At 35.7% G+C, this 19572-nt stretch overlaps 1 protein-coding gene across 45 annotated transcripts in view; it reads right to left on the reverse strand.

Annotated features, from left to right (window-relative positions):
* DLG1 (discs large MAGUK scaffold protein 1) overlaps window positions 1–19572 on the reverse strand; it is a 256762-nt gene that overhangs the window by 114907 nt on the left and 122283 nt on the right. For 18 of the 45 annotated variants that reach the window (XR_007095643.1, XR_007095642.1, NM_001290983.2 and 15 more), the window contains one exon: window positions 4174–4272. The exons of the other annotated variants lie outside the window; for them this stretch is intronic. Coding sequence is in view for 16 of the 18 variants with exons in the window: in NM_001290983.2 (NP_001277912.1) it covers window positions 4174–4272 (99 nt within the window). In the remaining 2 variants the exon portion in view is untranslated. The remainder of the gene's footprint in view (window positions 1–4173; window positions 4273–19572) is intronic. 45 annotated transcript variants of the gene reach the window in all.

A 19572-nucleotide genomic window follows, 5' to 3' on the forward strand; every position in this document is an offset into this window, starting at 1 on the left:
AATGAAGAATTAACTTCATCAAGAAAGTAAAAAACTTGGGCAATGAAAACTATAAAACATGTATGAAAGAAATTAAGAAGACATAAATAAATGGGAAGGGATCTGTGGTCATAGATTGGAAGACTTACTATTGCAAAAATGTCAATATTACCCAAAGCAATCTATAGACTTAATGCAATTCCTATCAAAATCCCAGTAGGGTTTTCAAAGAAATAGAATAACCCATCCTAAAAGTCACATAGAATTTCACGGTACCCTGAAAGCCAAAATGGTAATGAAAAAGAAAAACAAAGGTGGCGGGCTAACACTTCCTGATTCCAAAACTTACTACAAAGTTACAGTAACAGAAACAGTCTGGTACTGGCATGCAGACAGACATACAGAAGGGAATAAAACAGAATCCAGAAATAAATGCCATATACAATTATCAACCTACAATGGATCATGATCTAAATGTAAAACCTAAAACTTAAAACTGTTAGAAGAAAACACAGGCTAAAAGCGAGACACTGGAATTGTCAATGATTTCTTGGATATGACACAAAGGTACAGACATGTCTTGTCTGTAATCTCTGACAAGACATGAGACCCAGAATACACAGAGGAACTCCTAAAACTCGACGATAAAACCAAACACCCTAATTAAAAAATGGTCAAGGAACTCATACAGACATTTTCCCAAAGAAGACACACACATGGACAATAAGCACATGAACAGATGTGTCACAAATGCAAGTCAAAACTACAATGAGATGTCACCTCACACCCACTAGCCTGGCTACTATGAAGAAAACAGAAAATAAAAAGTGTTGGTGAGGATGTGGAGAAATTGGAATCCTTGTGCACTTTGGTGGAAATATAAAATTCTACAACTGGCTGGATGCAGTGGCTCATGCCTGTAATCCCAGCACTTTGGGAGGCCGAGGCAGGCGGACTACCTGAAGTCGGGAGTTTGAGGCCAGTCTGACCAACATGGAGAAACCTCGTCTCTACTTAAAAAAAAAAAAAAAAAAAAAAATTAGCCGGGCGTGGTGGCACATGCCTGTAATCCCAGCTACTCGGGAGGCTGAGGCAGGAGAATCACCTGAACCCGGGAGGTGGAGGCTGTGGTGAGCCGAGATTGTGCCATTGCACTCCAGCCTGGGTAACAAGAGCAAAACTCCATTTCAAAAAAAAAAAAAAAAAAAAAAAGCCCAGAGGCAGTATGATGCTCTGCTCTGGACATACCTCTAAGGTAATTACTCTCACATTATGCGGGAGCTATTTGTTAAACTTGTCTCTTGCACAAACACCTAGTAGGCCCCTAGAGGACAGAGACGATGTTCTATTCATCTTCAAAGCACATATTCAAATATCAAAAAAGACCATGCACAAAAAATTAGCTCTTAAAGCATTTTCAACAATACTTTAATTACATGATAGCTTTTCAGAACTGATAGAAATAAAGGTTTAAAACATCTAGTTTTAAAGCAGAGTATTTACTCTAGGGTGCAAATAAGCCTCTGGATTTAATAGGCTAGTATCACAGAGATTATGTGTTTACACTCCCAGTAAGAAGAACTAGTAACTGTCACCTACTCTGTACTCAGTTTCTATGTGGAGAAACTGAGGCTCTCAGAAGTTGAGTAATTTCCACACCATCACACGTAGAAACAGGTGAAGCTAGGAAGTGGTGGAGTCGGGTAGGACTATAAACTCCACGTTCTTTCTGCAATATTAAGCAGCCATTAAATATTACCTTTATCTGTGCCACTCTGTATAATAAGCATAATTCTGATTTGTAGAAGACTTTCATAAAGTACAAACAATATGATCAATGTGAAAGTACTCTGAAAAGTATAAAAGTGTTCTACAAATCATGAAAGACTATATACTTTTTAAAAAGTTTTCATCTATGTATCTTTCTAATTTGCCTGACTCTCAAACTCATTTTAAAGGAGTCAGGTTGGCGTTACCCCCCATTTTAATAGATGAAGGGGGTATAAAACTCAGAGAGGGTAACTAGCTTGAGTGGCAAAGACAGACTAGATTCTAAATCTTTTCTTCTGTTTTTATTTCTAATACATCCTAACGCATCTAAATGTAAAGTAGTGGATCTTTTAAGAATACATATTCACTTAATATGTTGAAATTGGGTTATATGTTAGTATGTATTTTAAATTTTACTTGGGGACGGATATTTTAGTCCATTATTTTAATTTTATAATGTACACATTGTACTTCACTAATTAGGAACACACTTATTCTGGAAAATGAGGTGCACTCATTGGCTTCTCACATAACACAACAAAAATGGTAAAACTATCTTTCATGAACTTCCGTAGTGTATTTAAAACCTAAAGTGAAGCTATGCAGAATAAATAGGTCTTTTTTGTGTGTATCCTCAATAAATATCCTCATTTAAAAAAACAAAACAAAACTTGTTCCTTAGTTTGCTGTCTCAGAGAAATATGAGATAACACTAAAAATATGGGCGGCTAAGATTATGTGCCAGTACCTGACGTGCATTAAGCATCCTCTCCATCACTGTAAAGCGCCTCAAGTTAGTACTCCTGTCTATCTTCAGTGTTACAGATGAGTAAATGGAAGTGCGCTGTGGTTAAGTGAAGTGTGCAGTTACACAGGTTAAGTGGTAGGACTGGAATTCCAACCCCAGGTCATTCTGACTTTAAAACGTGTATTTTTATAAGACTATGCAAGATCTCAACAATTTTCAAATGCAGTGGGATGCTAAGTTAGGGTTGCTTGGAGTAAATAAATGAGAGAATTCTGAATAGGAAAAGACAGGCTCCCAAATGAATATAAAGAGACTGGTACAAATTCTCAAAGGATTCCAGAAAACTATTTTAACACCAAAAAATTGACTGAAGTGAGAAGAGTAAAATAAACTTTCAATTCTATTAAAAAAAAAAAAAACTGTACTAATAAACTCTATATATTTGGAAAGATGTTACATTATTATGATGCCATAATAACCCTTAAACTGTTTGCTCAGAATTATATTTTATTTATAAATTCAATTTTTTTCCTGCAATATAGAGAGAATATCCATTTGGATTCATCTATTCATTGTTGGTTTTATGACTTAATTTTTAATTATTTTCATAATCAAAAATTATATAGTAGCAGTATTATTATAATGATTACAATTCAGTCTTATTACAGTAAGGCTGAAGTCATTGTAACACTGTAATTTCCCCTAGAATCCTTGGTTGTATGGATGTTCCCACTGACTTCACTTTTTAGGAGAGGGGAAGGGCACTGAGATGTGAATAATCACAGCTGATATATCATTTTTTCCCCAATGGAGCTTATTTTGAAACTGTTTACACAGCAAACATATGTTTACCCAGATTTTAGGCTACAGATCAATAATGGCAAAAAAAAATCTATGGGTTCATTTATTTACACTTTAAATGAGATCGTGATCTTTCACACCAAAGATCTTTATTATTATCTTTAATACCACTACCATTATTTTGACTTTGGATAACTGTTGGAAGGGCAGTTAATGTCTCAAGCCACCCCTTGGAAGTAGTAAAGCTTTGAAAAACTAAAAATGATTAGACTCTCTCACATTTGGCTATTATTTTTAAACTGTTACACATAATTTTTTAAAAGTAAAATTTTACAACAGATTTACAGAAAAGTTGTGAAGATAGCACAGAGCATTCCCATATACTCCCAGATATGTTGGCTATTATTTTTACCTAATAAATGTGAAGTGTGTTATCTAATCAAATAACATAAGAATGAATATTTCCAAAGAAGATAAATATATAACAGGAAACAAAGTGTTAAATAAAATGATACATTGGTACAAGATCAGGAGTACAATGATTTTTACTAACTTTAGAAGAATAAAGTGTTCTAAAGTAAAAATGTTTAAAAACTGTTTTAAGCAGATTTCTAAGTACAAAGGCATGAAAACAAATCTAAGGTTCAATATTATGAAGTTCATTGTGTCCCATTTCACAGACAACCTAATAAAATGGCAAATCCTGACTCCACTTATATTAAATCCCAAATGTTTAAGTCCCTAAAACTACTAACTGAAGCCCAAAGTAAATTACCAAATTACAAAAAACAGCTCAAACAGTTTTAAAAAAGAACACAAATGAAACATTAAAAGCAAATGAAATTTTTATAAAGAAAAAAGAAACTAATAAAAACCTGTGGTATGGTGGGTAGGATGACAGTATTCTCAGCAGGGACTGGCAGGACAGGGATCACAGGGACAGTGGGAGGAGAGGGAAGAACAGCTTCTGTTGGCTAAAAATCATCAATGACAAAAAATCAGGAAAAACACCAAAATAAAAGGGAAACACATAACAAAAAGCTGTGCCATAAAGATAAATTATAGTTTTCAGAAATAACTATGCAACAGGAAAAACATTAATACATTACACTAATATAAATGAGAAAATATTCTCTAGAAATTGTTTTAGAAAGTTATACCCCCATAATAATTTTAATGATTCTGTAATAAAATGAATGCCTACTCTTTAGATGCTTAAATCATAATAATAAAAGATTATCATTTACAATATTCCTTCCTTCTCTGGGAGATAAGACACTTGCTTCATAGACAGACTGCAAAATATTTTTTCTAGCACTCAGAATACATCTCACTACTTTCCTCTATGCATTCAGAAAACTAAAAGTAATTTTATTAGCCCAATCAGGCAGACAAAGAGAGTTTACAAATCCGTGATACTAACTTCTGTTATCAAGAACAGTAATAACTTGCCTCAACATGCCTGTAATTAATTCAACTAACATTGATTGTCTATTACATGCCAGACATATCTGGCAAAAATGAAAAAACAACGTAGAGAGAACCTGGTATAAATTAAACTAAAAAGTTCACTGTTTTATCTGGCTTGTTATTTTTAAAAGGATGAAACTGGAACACAGGAAAGTTGTTTAGTAATAAGACCCATTTGCTATATAAATAAAATATCTTATATATGTAAGAAAAACACTAAAATCAAGCAGATGAGGACAGCCTGCCTTAACAGGCCTTAAAACAGGAAGAACAAATTGCCAGACTAAAAAAAGGGCTTATCTTCATTCATAAATGCAAAATAAAATGGCAATGATCTTTTCTGCCTACCAAATTAGTCAAATTAAGATTTATTAACAATGTATGGAGTCTCTTCAACAATGGTGCTGAGACAACTGGATATCCACATGCAAAAGATGAAGGTCTATAGACCCCCATCTCACATTATATATAAAAATTAACTCAAAATTGATTAACAACCTAAATATGAGATTTGAAAACATAAAACTCTTACAAGAGAACATAGGGTTAATCTTTGTGACCGTGGATTTGGTAATGGAACCTTAGAAATCATAAATGATGAAAGAAAAAAATCAATTAGACTCTAACAGAATTAAAACCTTTTGTGCACCAAAGGGCATTACCAAGCAAGTGAAAAGACAGCCTACACAATGGGAGAAGGTATTTGCAAATCATACACCTGATAAGGGTTTAATATCCAGAACATTTAAAGACTCTTACAACGCAACAACACAAAGAGAAACAACCCAATTAATGAATGTGTGAAGAGCTTGAATAATTTCTGCAAAGAAGGTATACAAGTGGCCAATTAGCACACGAAAAGATGCTCGACATCATTAGTCCTTAGGGTAATACAAATAAAAGCTATAATGAGAGATTACTTCACCACTACAAGGGAAGTGTCTAATTAAAACAAAACAAAAAACAAAGTAACAAGTGGTGGCAAGGATGTGGAGAAACTGGAACTCTGGTACAATGCTGGTGGGAAATGTAAAATGGTACAGCTTCTGAGGAAACTTTTAGTGGTTTCTTAAAAACCAACCATAGAATCAGCATCTGATCTAGCAATTGGGTAGGTAAATATGCACTGGGTAGGCATATTCCCAAAAGTGAGAGCAAGGACTTGGACACTTGTATGCCAATGTTCAATGCAGCATCACACACAACAGTCAAAAGGCGGAAAGAAACCACGTGTCTATCAGGAGATGAACGGATACACAAAACGTGATAATATACACACAATGGGTATGATTTTTTTTTTTTTTTTGAGATGGAGTCTCGCTCTGTTGCCCAGGCTGGAGTGCAGTGGTGCAATCTCAGCTCACTGTAACGTCCGCCTCCCGGGTTCAAGCAATTCTCTGCCTCAGCCTCCCAAGTAGCTGGGATGACAGGCACCTGCCACCATGCTCAGCTATTTTTTTTTTTTTTTTTTTTTTTGTATTTTTAGTAGAGACAGGGTTTTACCATCTTGGCCAGGCTGGTCTTGAACTCCTGACCTTGTGATCCACCCACCTTGGCCTTCCAAAGTGTTGAGATTACAGGTGTGAGCCACTGCACCCAGCCCTAGGAATAAAATTCTTAATCATGCTAGAAGATGGATGAGCCTTTAAAACATTAAGTGAAATTAGCCAGACACAAAAGGATAAATATTGCATGATTCCACTTAAAAGACTAGTAAGTTATACATATTTTACCAATAAAAAATATTCCAAAAAAGCTTTTAAAAATGCATGAAAACTGGTCCTCTCACACTGCTGTTGGATATACAAATTCACACAAACTTTAGGGAAAGTAATTTGGCAGTAAATATCTAGAGCTTTAAAAATGTCTAAACTTGGCCAGGCACAGTGGTTCACACCTGTAATCTCAGCACTTTGGGAGGCCGATGCGGGTGGATCGCGAGGTCAAGAGTTCAAGACCAGCCTGGCCAACATGGTGAAACTCCATCTCTACTAAAAAAAAAAAATACAAAAATTAGCCGGGTGTGGTGGCCCATGCGTGTAATCCCAGCTACTTGGGAGGCTGAGACAGGAGAATTGCTAGAGCCTGGAAGGTGGAGGTTGCGGTGAGCCTAGATTGCGCCATTGCACTCCAGCCTGGGCAACAGAGTGAGACTCTGTCTCCCCCTCCTCAAAAAAAAGTCTAAACTCTTTGACTTAGTAATTCTAGAAATCTACCCTAAGGAAATAATTTTAAAAGCCTATGTTTTAAGGTACTCCCATAAGGTGTTCTAAGGTTTTAAGATAGTCTTTTGAACACTGCTTCTATTTGGTAAATCGTGGAATATTTGAAATACCCAAAGGTGTCAGAATTGTTAAGTAAAAAATGAAAACTCTATGAGATTGAGGCTGGGCATGGTGGCTCATGCCTGTAATCCTAGCACTTTCGGAGGACGCGGCAGGCAGATCACCTGAGTTTAGGAGTTCGAGACCAGCCTGGTCAACATGGCAAAACCCCGTCTCTACTAAAAAAAAAAAAAAAAGAAAAAAAATACAAAGATTAGCTAGGTGCGGTGGTGCATGCCTGTAGTCCCAGCTACTCGGGAGGGTGAGTCAGGAGAACTGCTTGAACCCAGCAGGTGGAAGTTGCAGTGAGCAGTGAGATCACGCCACTGTACTCCAGCCTGGGCAACAGAGCAAGACTATCTCAAAAAAAGAAAGAAAGAAAGAAAAGAAAATTATATGAGATTATCATACAGAAATTTAAAATTATCAGTACGAACAGTTTATAAATTATATGGGACATTGCTTATGACAAAACATTAAGTAAAAAAGGGAAGATGAAACACATAAAAAATGGAAAGAAATGTCTGAAAAATTAATCTCTGGGGTGGGATCATGAGTGCCTTTCTCTATCGCTGCTTCTTTATTCTGAATTATACTTTTCCAGTTGTTGACAAGGAATACACAGTGGCGTTATTAATATAAATGCAAGGGGAAGGATGGGAGATCCATTGTGAATATTAACAGAAAAACAATTATTATGATCTTTAAGTGTCATTCTCTAGAAAACAAACTGAAAATGTATTTCACACTCTGGACTCCTGTTACCTGGATTTATTATTTCCTGTAGAAAGAGATTTTTAAAGCATTGGATTTTGTGTTTTCTCTTTCTTTTCAATGTTCCCAGTCTGGGATGATGAAAAGTTCTGAAGATTGAGAGTGATGATACTTGCACAACACTGTGAATGTACTTAATGCCACTGAATTGTACATTAACAAATGGCTAAAATGGTAAACTTGATGTAAACTTTAACACAATAAAAAAGTATACTACGAATAAAGCCTCCGTGGGTTTAGCTCGGGACTCCAATCACCATTTATATATTGTTCCTGGAGAAAAAAAATTCTGAATTCCACATTATGAGCTCAAAATTAATAACAATCGTAACTGATACTCACTGCAATATTTACATGGCCTTCTAAGAATGTTTGAAAACCCATAGGTTCTGACTTCTGATTTATGAATGCATAAGAAAAGCGTGGTGGTTTTGTAAGAACTGTGCTTGGATCAAGTGGATATACACATGGAAAAATCAAACAAATACTGATTCCTACCCTTAAACTATACATAAGATTAATTTCAGCTGGTTTGCTGACATAATTGAGAGAAGTAAACAATATAAGGCTTCTAGAGGATGATATGGTAGAGTATCATCACAACCTTGGTGCAGATGACCTCCTGAATAGGAAAGTGCATGTTGCTGAAGCTCACGCAGGGTGAGGAAAGCATCTGTAGGCAGGGAGTGGAAGGGAGGCAATAGCCTGGCAAAGGGTGCTGGAGCCTCAGCATGGTGACGAGGGTGTCTACATGGACAAAGCCGTGGCGGCAGCCTGTGTGTGGTTGGAACCCAAGTGAGACAGATAGCATCTATGAGGCAGTAGCTGCAGTCTGGCATAAGGTTTTGTGCTGTCAGTGGACTAAATGGGATCTTCTGGAGCCTGAGCAGCGTGAGAAGGGCGTCCAACTAGGGCAGCAATGATGACAGGAGATTGCTTATATACAGGGCATTCTGGTCCAATAAATAAATACATGAAGGATACTGACAGCAGGTTTCCTTGCGTCAGAAAAGGCAGTTATAAATATGAAAAGATAGAAAATTAGCATGAGACCTATGGTGTTACACTAAAATTGGAGGTATTGGTATAAACAGTTTTCAATATATATAGATAAATACAAAAATAAATATAGACATAAATGTGTGTGTATATATGTGCATAGGTCTGCTAACTATGAGGACCTGGATGCAGCTAACAGCTCAACAGCACGAATACACCTGGCATCCAAATCTTGATTTCTAAATACTCATTCTGCAATTTAAAACAACACAACATGGCCGGGCACGGAGGCTCATGCCTGTAATCCCAACACTTTGGGAGGCGGAGGTGGGCGGATCATCTGAGGTCAGGAGTTTGAGACCAGCCTGGCCAACATGATGAAATTCTGTCTCTACTAAAAATACAAAAAATTAGCTGGACATGGTGGCGGGCACCTGTAATCTCAGCTACTTGGGAGGCTGAGCCAAGAGAATCGCTTTGAACCCAGGAGGCAGAGGTTGCAGTGAGCCAAGATCACGCCATTCCACTCCGGCCTGGGCAATAAGAGCGAAACTCCGTCTCGGGGGGAAAAAAACCACAACACAAAACCAAACAAAACCAAACCATGGGTCTTTGAAGAAATGGCTGACTCCAGTGCTAGAGCTCAGCAAGCACAAGATGTGTGTAGACATCTTGCTGTACCAGAAGATAAGGGAAGTACTCAAAGAGGATGACAAAGGACACAGAAGTTGGCTTGAAGGGCTGCCACTGGCCAGACTGGGAACAATCTGTAACTCAATGATAACAATGGCATAACATCCACTGAATAAAATAGGAATCTGGGAGCCCATACTGATATAAATAAATACATCAATAAATAAATGAAGATAAGAGCATTTTCTTACAACAAAATGCTAACTAAAAATGTAATGATGGAATTATAAAATCATCATTTGGCAGCCATCATAGTAATAGAGTAATTCATTCAAGAAATATTAATGAATATTAAAACTTCCTGTTGCCAAGTGAAACGTCCATTCCAGTGGATGAATGGGATATACTCATACAAAAGTGTCTCCTTTCAAAGCATTAATGACAGTGGAGAAATCTGCAGACAATATCTGAATCAAGTGATCAAAGTTAACACCACCAGTAACGGGAAAAATCAAAATCATATATCATGTGATAAAATGTAATGAGAGTACAATACTTCCAGGATATTTCTACCAAAGGTATATAACTTGAATCTAATCATTAAACATCAGACAAACCCAAATTGAGTGATACATTACAAAGTAACTAGCTGCAGTCATCAAAAGTGTCAAAGTCATGAAAGTCTAACGTTATTTTTAATTCAATTTTATTCTAGTTTAAAAACAACTTTACTGAGGTAGAAGTGATATAAAAAACTGCACATATTTAAGGTATAGAATTTGATGAGTTTGCACATAGGCATACATCTATGAAGCCACTGCCATAATCAAAGTAACAAACGTATCTATCACCTCTAAAAGCTTCCTTGTGCCTCTGTTGTTTTTTGTTTTGGTTTGGTTCTTTTAAGGACACTAAAGTTTATTTTTTAAGTGTTTGAAAATGTCACAAATGTAATATGTTTTCTTATTAACAGTCTCCAGCCCTAACAATAGGATAATAGCTGATTAATAATCTACTTTGATAGCCAAAATAAGACAAAAGTACATGCTTATGTCAAATTTCAAAGCAAAGCACAAAAATTTTCTCCACTGGGCAGGTGCTCTCCAAAACCCTTTATGATAAACCATGAATCCTTTAATGTTACATTTTAATCCCACTTGTAACCCTCTGTCTCTGAGCCTCTTCTAGAATCACCTTCTTTAGACGAGGATGTGAATACCATTTAAAAAAATTCCCAGTTTACAGCATCTTAACCCATCCCCCTCTCTACAGGGCACTGACCAAGTTCCTTGAAGAACATAGGCCCCTGCCTCTTCCTTAAGGCCAACACCGCTGAGAAAGTCAACGACGCATCAACACACACAATTCCCTAATCACAACTGATAACCAATTCTGGTAACAAACAATTACAGAACAACAAAGTAATTCATTTAGTTCACTTGAAACAAAAATGCAGCTCTAAACAAATAATAATCAAATGAAGGCTGACTGATGAGGAACAGCAAAGATATCAGATCTGATCACAGGATGCTTTGGGCAAAGGTTTTAGAGCAGGGTAAAACTCCGGGGAGCTGTATAAGATTCTAAATTAGAAAATGTCAAACTTAAGATTCTAACATAAATAATGAAGCAGCAATATACAGTAACCATTATATTTTGGTTATTACAGAATTCAGTATGGCATTTTAAACTTGAAAAATCTTATATAACTATTTCATTAGACAGTGACTGTTATGCCATCATCCTTGTTTTGCTCCATTTGTATCACTCAATAAGATGAGATCTAAAGTTTTTCTGTTGTTGTTTTAAAAAAAATCTTGACCATGTGACTAGCAACGGTCTCAGTTGTTTCTATCCACAGCAACATCATGGAATCATTAGCCTCTGAGGCTGCCTTCAGAGACTTGTTTCCATGGCAACAGAGGCTATGATATTAACACCGTCACAAGGAAATTGTAAATTTCTACAAAATTGGATATATTGTACATATTTTAAAGTACCTTTTAAAAACCAGTATCAAATGGATGGCTATCTGAACAAATGTTTAAAGTGATTTGTTTTTAGAGATTAATTTTCTCTATAGCTTTATATTTTAAATCTAATTTAAGATCTTAAAATTATAAAAGCAGCACTTAAAACAGATTTTCATAAAGTGGTCTGAACACTCACTACATACAGCCATTTGCATCTGTTCTGCACATCCACATTTATGACCATGTACCGCCCTCCCTCACTTTGATTCATTGAAAAATAAATGTATATTGAATGAGCCTACTACTTTTATTAAAGCCTTTTCTGCTTAAAGCACTCAAGTGGTTTTCATTATGTGCATATGAACCCTGATTAATACAGGAAGAGACAGAAGGGACAATTAGGAGTTTACTGTAATAATCCAGCTGAAAGGTTATTGGTGGCTTAAACTGAATGGTGGTAATGGACATATGAGCAGTCAAATCAAGACACATTTTGAATGTAGAGTTGGTATATCTTGGTGACTGATGAGAAGTCTGGAGTGAGGAAGGCCTATTAACACTCACAATAGCCACTAAAAATGATCTTTTATACAAGAGTTCGACTCAGGTATAAAAGAGTTGCAAGGCTATCTAAATATATTTAAAAACATTTTCTCACTAATTTATTAAAATGACTTTCATAGCATAAGATGCAACTCCAAAGACGATAAATGAACATACTATCTGATAGCTAATAATGCTTATATTTTACATTAACACGTTATATGAAGGGGGTAAACTGACCTAAGAATATACACAAAGATTCACTACTGTATCTTTTTAATTCAACTTTTATTTTAAGTTCAGGGGTACATGTGCAAGCTTGTTACACAGGTAAACTTGTGTCACTGGGATTTGTTGTACAGATTATTTCATCACCCACATATTAAGAATAGTACCCATTTAGTTATTTTTCCGGATCTTCTCCCTCCTCGTACTCTCCACCCCTCACACCGGCCCCAGTGTGTTGTTCCGCTCTATGCGTCCACCTGTTCTCATCACTTAGCTCCCACTTATAAGCGAGAACATGCGGTATTTGATTTTTTGTTCCTGCATTAGTTTGCTAACGATGACGCCCTCCAGCTCCACCCATGTTTCTGCAAAGGACAAGATCTCATTCATTTTTATTGTTGCATAGTATTCCGTGGTGTGTATGTGCCACATTTTCTTTATCCAGTCTACCATTGATGGGCATTTAGGTTGACTGCATGTCTTTGCTACTGTGAATAGTGCTGCAATGAACCTAAGCGTTCATGTCTTTATAACAGAACAATTTATATTCCTTTGAGTATACACCCAGTAATAGGATTGCTGGGTTGAATTGTATTTCTGTTTTTAGGTCTCTGAGGAACCACCACATTGTCTTCCATAATGGTTGAACTAATTTACACTCTCATCAACAGTGTATAAGTGTTCCTTTTTCTCCACAAACTTGCCAGCATCTCTTGTTTTGATTTTTTTTAAAGTAGCCATTCTGAATGGTGTGAGATGGTATCTCGTGGCTTTGATTTGCATTTCTCTAATGATCAGTGACGCTAAGCTCTTTTTCATGACTGTTGGCCACTTTTGAACAGTGTCTGTTTACGTCCTTTACTCTCTTTTAATAGGACTGTTTTTCTCTTGTAAATTTCTTGAAGTTCCTTATAGACGCCGGATATTAGACCTTTTTCAGATGCACAGTTTGCAAAAATTTTCTTCCATTCTGTAGGTTATCTGTTCACTCTGTTGACAGCTTCCTTTGCTGTGCAGAAGCTCTTTAATTAGATCCCACTTGTCAATGTTTGCTTTTGTTGCAATTGCATGGTGTCTTCATGATGAACCCTTTGCCTGTTCCTATATCCAGAATGGTACTGCCTAGGTTGTCTTCTTAGGTTGTCTTATAGCTTTGGGTTTCACATTTAAGTCTTTAATCTATCTTGAGTTAATTTTTGTATGCACACTTCCATATTTTTAGAGAAAATGAGATATATGAATTAGCAAATCTTTTGGTACCAATATCTTAGATGGCAAGGAAAAGTATCAACTGTCGTGTCACTGTGGGTTAGTAAGGATCTTATTTTGGTTTTGTATGGCATAATTAATATTCCTAATCTAAGTTCTTTGGTTCTTTGTTTAAAGATGTATTATGCTGTAATGTGGCATGTTTCTCTGATTAAATGTCAAAGAAGCTATTTAAAAGTAAGAGAGAAACTAAAAAAAACTGCAAGCCTTTTGAATGTTTATAGAAGGATAAAATATAGCACAGTAGATTTATAAAAACTCTGCTTAGGAATCACTGTACTCAACGGGGGCCCAGTACCTTCAGAAAAAGCTGATTTTTATGGTTTAAATCTGTTTTTTTATTCAAATGTCCTTTGGTCCTGTCACTGCAAACAGGTATCTTTCACATAAGCCGGTATAGTAAAAAACCAACAATATGTTATTTGAACCAGCTTCATATGACTTCCATGTCATAACTATCTCACAAGCAAACAATTATAAAACTAAACACATTTTTAAACAAATCACTAAGGGTATTAAAATCATTAAATTTAAAACAAAACAAGGTAAATAGGAAAACAGATCTAGCAATTAATTCCATTACAGAAACATGAGTACAAGTGTGTTAGTTCACACAGACAGATCATCTAGTTCATGAATCTATCTCTACCTGTGAGACTCACAATATTCAGTTAAGGTTTCTCATCCCTCCATTATGAAAAGACAGTATTCTATCAGCATTCAGATGACAATCTTGTCCTAGTAAAGGATGAGCCAAACACGAAACATTTCAAAGTAAACAGACACTAAAACTTCAATATATGGTTACATAATTGACAAATGGGGATAAAATTACCAAATGCAATAATGTGCTTTTTTACCTGATTTTTATCAGAATGTGGCTAGAGAAATAAGCAAAACCACAGACTTCATGACTAATAACCTAAAATGGGCCCTTAATGCTTCCCAGTAATCAGATTTGCCTTGTATTATTCACCCTCTACAAGTCTGTAAGGATTCAGGTCCCTGTTATCACTCTCTCAAGTTGCCTTCTTCTATTTCCCCCACACAAATACACACATTTTCTATTGTTTCTTTCCTTTATTTTTCCTCCAGAATACCATATACACTCATACGTCACATATCAACATTTTGGTTAATGATGGTCCACATGTATAAAATTATAATGGAGCTGAAAAATTTCTACTGCCTAGTGATGTCATAGCCATTGTAATGCTGCAGTATAATGTATTACATTTGTGGTGACGCTGGCGTAAACAAATATACCTCACTGCCAGTTGTACAGAAGTATAATACATATAATTATGTACGGTATATAATACTTCAGAATGATAATTAACAACTATTTTACTGGTTTGTATATTTATTATACTATACTTTTTATCTTCTGTATAATTATATACAAAAATAAATATACACCGTATTCCCATTAACTGACATGTGACTGCATTTTGGATAATTATATTTATTATCTGTCTTCTTCTACTTAGAGCAGATTTCTGTTCTGTTCACTCCTATATGCCCAGTGCCTAGAAAAGTGCACACAGGAAGTATTTAATATATATTTGTTGAATGAATAAAACCATGCGACTGTCAAAAGAAATCAACTTAATCAGCACTCTAAAATGACTTGGGCAATAGATTGGGTAGGTACAGTCTTCCTTCCCCTACCCACTTTCATGCAATATACATAGTAGACATTGCTAAAAGGTTATTTCTGTGTTTCTGGGCAGCCACCACCAATCAGAAGGTGTTCAAGATGTTTTACAGTTTGATAACCTTAGAACAGAAGTTTCAAAATGTAAAAAATTGCCAGTTTCATGTTGTTCTCTATCTAGCAATAATGAATTGCCTAATAATGTCCCATTTGAAAATAAACATGTCTTGGTCAAGCATATTTGCTTAAAATATTTTCATCGCTTTTCTATTCAAACTGCATTAGGAAGTACAACTTCTTACTGAGGGCTCATATTTAAAATCCATGGTGCCCTTCCTCTGAGGTTCCACTAATTTCAGCTTGGGTCCTTTGTTCCCCTACAGGTAGCTACTTCTGTAAGTTAGTCTCGATTTTACCTTGGCATTCTCATTTTGCCTTTCCAGTTCTCCAATACTCATCTAACCAATCCCATGTAGTGTATTTTTATTGTTAGTTGCTGTGGTTTCTGTTTCCCTGGCTGCACCCTATTAAAGTTACCAACCCTCTAGCTAAAACATGGTTGCTTCTCCGTATCTCTAGATTCCTCATTTAAAGGTCAGAATATTTTGTTGAAATGAAAATGATGGTGGTGGCGGTGGTAGTGGTGGATAAAAGGGTAGTTGATAAAGATGATGATGACCTCACTGATGTAATTAATGTATTATAATAAGTGCTTTGCACATATTGTCTCATTTAATTCTCATTAAATTTTGAAAAAGATAACACTTTCATCCCCATTTTCTACAGATGAGGAGACAGACTCCGCATGGAGGTAATTTGCCCAAGGTGGCACAGGCGATATGGCAGAATATAAATTTAAATCCAGGTCATCATCCTCTAAAGATGGTACACTTACCCAGTACTCTTTACTTATCTCTTTAAAATAGTTCAAAAAGAGATTTTGTCTTTATTGTTACCACTACATTTTACTGCAAAGACAATATATATTACCTGTAAAAAGAAATACATACTGCATCAATCCTTAGATCAGGGGTTAGCAAACATTTTTGGAAATGACAAAAAAAGAAGCGTTATGGACCATGCAGTAATTGTTGCAACTATCCAACACTGCTATTGTAGTTCAAAAGTAGTCATACACAATACACAAATAGGCATGGCTGTGTTCCAATAAAACTTTATTTACAAGCCAGGCATGGTGGCTCATGCCTGTAATAATCCCAACACTTTGGGAGGCCGAGGCAGGCAGATCACATGAGGGCAGTAGTTCAAGACCAGCCTGGCCAACATGGCGAAACCCAGTCAGTCAGGTATGGTGGTGCACATCTGTAATCCCAGCTACTTAGGAGGCTGGGGCATAAGAATCACTTGAACCCGGGAGGTGGAAATTGCAGTGGGCTGAGATCGCGCCACTGCACTCCAGCCTGGGCGACACAGTGAGACTCTGTCTCAAAAACAAAACAAAACATTTATTTACAAAAACAGGTGGCAGGCTACATTTGGCCTACAGATTGTAGCTTGCTGACTCCTGCTTTAGCTGCTTTTAAAAAAGGAGAAAGAAAAGGCTAAATAAGTCAATGAAGAAAATAGAAAATGGCTTTAAGACACCTAAGTTAACTTTTACTAACTATAAATGGTTTAATTCTGTTGCAATTCTTAGTCTACAATAAAAATAAGCCAATTCTCTCTCCCCAAAAACCATGGAAGCGACAATTTAAAAAACAAGGAAACAAGATATACATATGGAAATTTCAAGTTTCACCTACAGTTCTTTAAAATATCTTTAATTAAAAAGTCTATATAATAAAGCTGTGCTCTTACAACTGAAAAAATTTTGCCTCTATACTGAATATAGCCTTCCAGTTTGGAAAAAAAGTGATTAAAATGATATGATTTTTATTCTCTTTTCTTTGTTCTCCCTTCAAAATCCTGCTATGGTACTTAGTTTGGCTAAAGCAATTAATTCTTAATATTGATATGCATCTTGTTTGTTTTCTTTCTATCTTACAAAATACTTTCCAACTGATTTCTTTCCAAATTTATAACCCTTTGATACATCAGATCATCCTACCAAGATTAGTCAGATTTATATACAGATAAATGAGGGTGGGATCTGTTTTAATTTAAATGCCAGTTTATTGCTCTTGAACGTGGCTGTTAAAAAAAAATTAACAAATAATTAAACACCAGGTTATAATCCCCAATTCTTTTTCTCAGAACAACAAAACAACACAAATTGTAAAGCAATCATTTGGTTCCACTCTGTCACAGCTGTAACTTCTTCACATTTCAAAGCTGCTCCAGTCAAGAAGTCAGAGTTTTGATTTCACAGATACTGAAAATACTGTTCAGAAATGCTACCAAATTGGGGCTTAAAGGAAAAAGAATGAATAGGAAGTGCTCCTGTTACGAAGTGAGGAGGGAAAATCTTTTAAATAAATGCCTGGAGGGGCAAGTTGCGTGTATAGGCTTCTATAAAATTCCACTGCTCCCAGGTGGCACTGCCAGTTGGTTTGTATTTGCATACGCCTGTTAAAATTACCACATCAGTTGGTTTAAAGTTTTCTTTAAAAGGTGGTAACTGTAGGCTACTGTTCTCTACATAGTCTGAACAACTATTTTTACCTTTATCAAAATTCTAAACTTTGCTATAAAAATGGAGGGCTGGAAATGTTATCTAAATAATAGTGCCAGGAAGTACAAGGAATAATTTAAGAAAATTTATTTAAAGAGACTGATACTAAGTAAAATTTTCATGATAAAAATTTAAGTTCTTCAGATATGTAAGAGTATAAATGCTTCACAATTTTTTCACAGAAGGATCTGAATTACTTCTGAAATTCACAACTTTACAAAATCTGGTAACATAGACTTGCTAGTTTTTAAGCCATAGTGTTACATAAAAATGGCTTGGGAAATTTACAGTGATCCAACAATATTTAGAAGTTCCAAACTTCCACTTCGTCAACAGCAGATTAAATAAAAATTAACACCTGTATAACATCTGTTTATTCATTCAACAAATATTTATCAAGTGCATTCTCCATGCGAGGCTCTGGGGATACCAAGGGAAAAAACCACACACCCTGTAGCATCAGCTCTTGTGAAACTTACAGTTTAGTGGCTGACATTAAACAAAATCATTATCCAAATGACTACTGAATTAGAGTCGTGATAAGAGGTATGAAGTACAATTCTCATGCAAACAAACATTACTTGAAAATACAGGAGAAAAATGTTGCTCAGGCTGACTTGCCCTGATCCCATAAGCATGGTTCAGTCACTTTTCAGCACTGTTATTAACACATTATTTTAAAGGTTAACTTTAAAACTTCTCTGAATATATTTAGAATATATAAATTATAGCCTGTGAAACTTCTTTTTGCCTATCTATCCTTGACAGAAACGCCATCTAAACAATCAAGACACTATACAGAAGCTACAAAGAAGAATAAAACACATTTCCTAACTATAAAGACCTTATATCATAAATTTCAAATGTCTTCAAGCTAAGCCAATCTAATCTACATTAAGACACCAATTTTATAGTTTTTAATAGACTTTATATATTTTTTTAGAGCAGTTTTAGTTCCCATATGCCCCCTGCTCACACACATAAACTATCCATAATCAACACCCCTGCATTTCTAATGTACATTTGTTACAATCAATGAGCCCACACTGCCACATCACAAAGTCCATAATTTACATGAGAGTTGACTGTGGGGGCTGGATATTCCATGGGTTTTGACATGTGTTTAATGACGTTTCCGCCATTATAGTATCATACAGAATGGCTTTACTGTCCTAAAAATCCTCTGTGCTCTATTATTTATCCCTCTCACCTAACCCCTGGCAACCACTGATCTTTTTATTGTTTCCATAGTTTTGCCTTTTCCAGAACGTCATCTAGTTGGAAACAAGGGTGTGTATCCTTTTCAGGTTGGCTTCTTTCACCTGGTAATATTCATTTAAGGTTCCTCCATGTCTTTTCATGGCTTGATAGCTCATTTCTTTTAGTGCTGGGTGATATTCCATTGTCTGAATGCACCACACTTTATCCATGCACACACTGAGGAATATGTTGGTTGCTTCTAGGTTTTGGCAATTATGAACACAGCTGTTATAAACATCTCTGTACAGGTTTTTGGGTGGATGTAAGCTTTCAATTCATTTGGGCAAATACCAAGGAGTACAACTGCTGGATCGTATGGTCAATTTTGTAATTTAAAAAAGCTTATATAACCATTGTAACCAACTACTTTTGGTTTAATCTTCATCTCTATGCTTTTCTAGAGTGTCCTATTGAACAAATGATATAAATTTTATTTTTATTTTTTATATTATTTTTTATTTATTTTTATTTATTGTACAAATGATAAAAATGTGTTGAAACAGTGTTTAAGA

This window comes from Homo sapiens, chromosome 3 (genome assembly GCF_000001405.40).
Source record: "Homo sapiens chromosome 3, GRCh38.p14 Primary Assembly".
NCBI classification, from domain to species: Eukaryota; Metazoa; Chordata; class Mammalia; order Primates; family Hominidae; genus Homo; species Homo sapiens.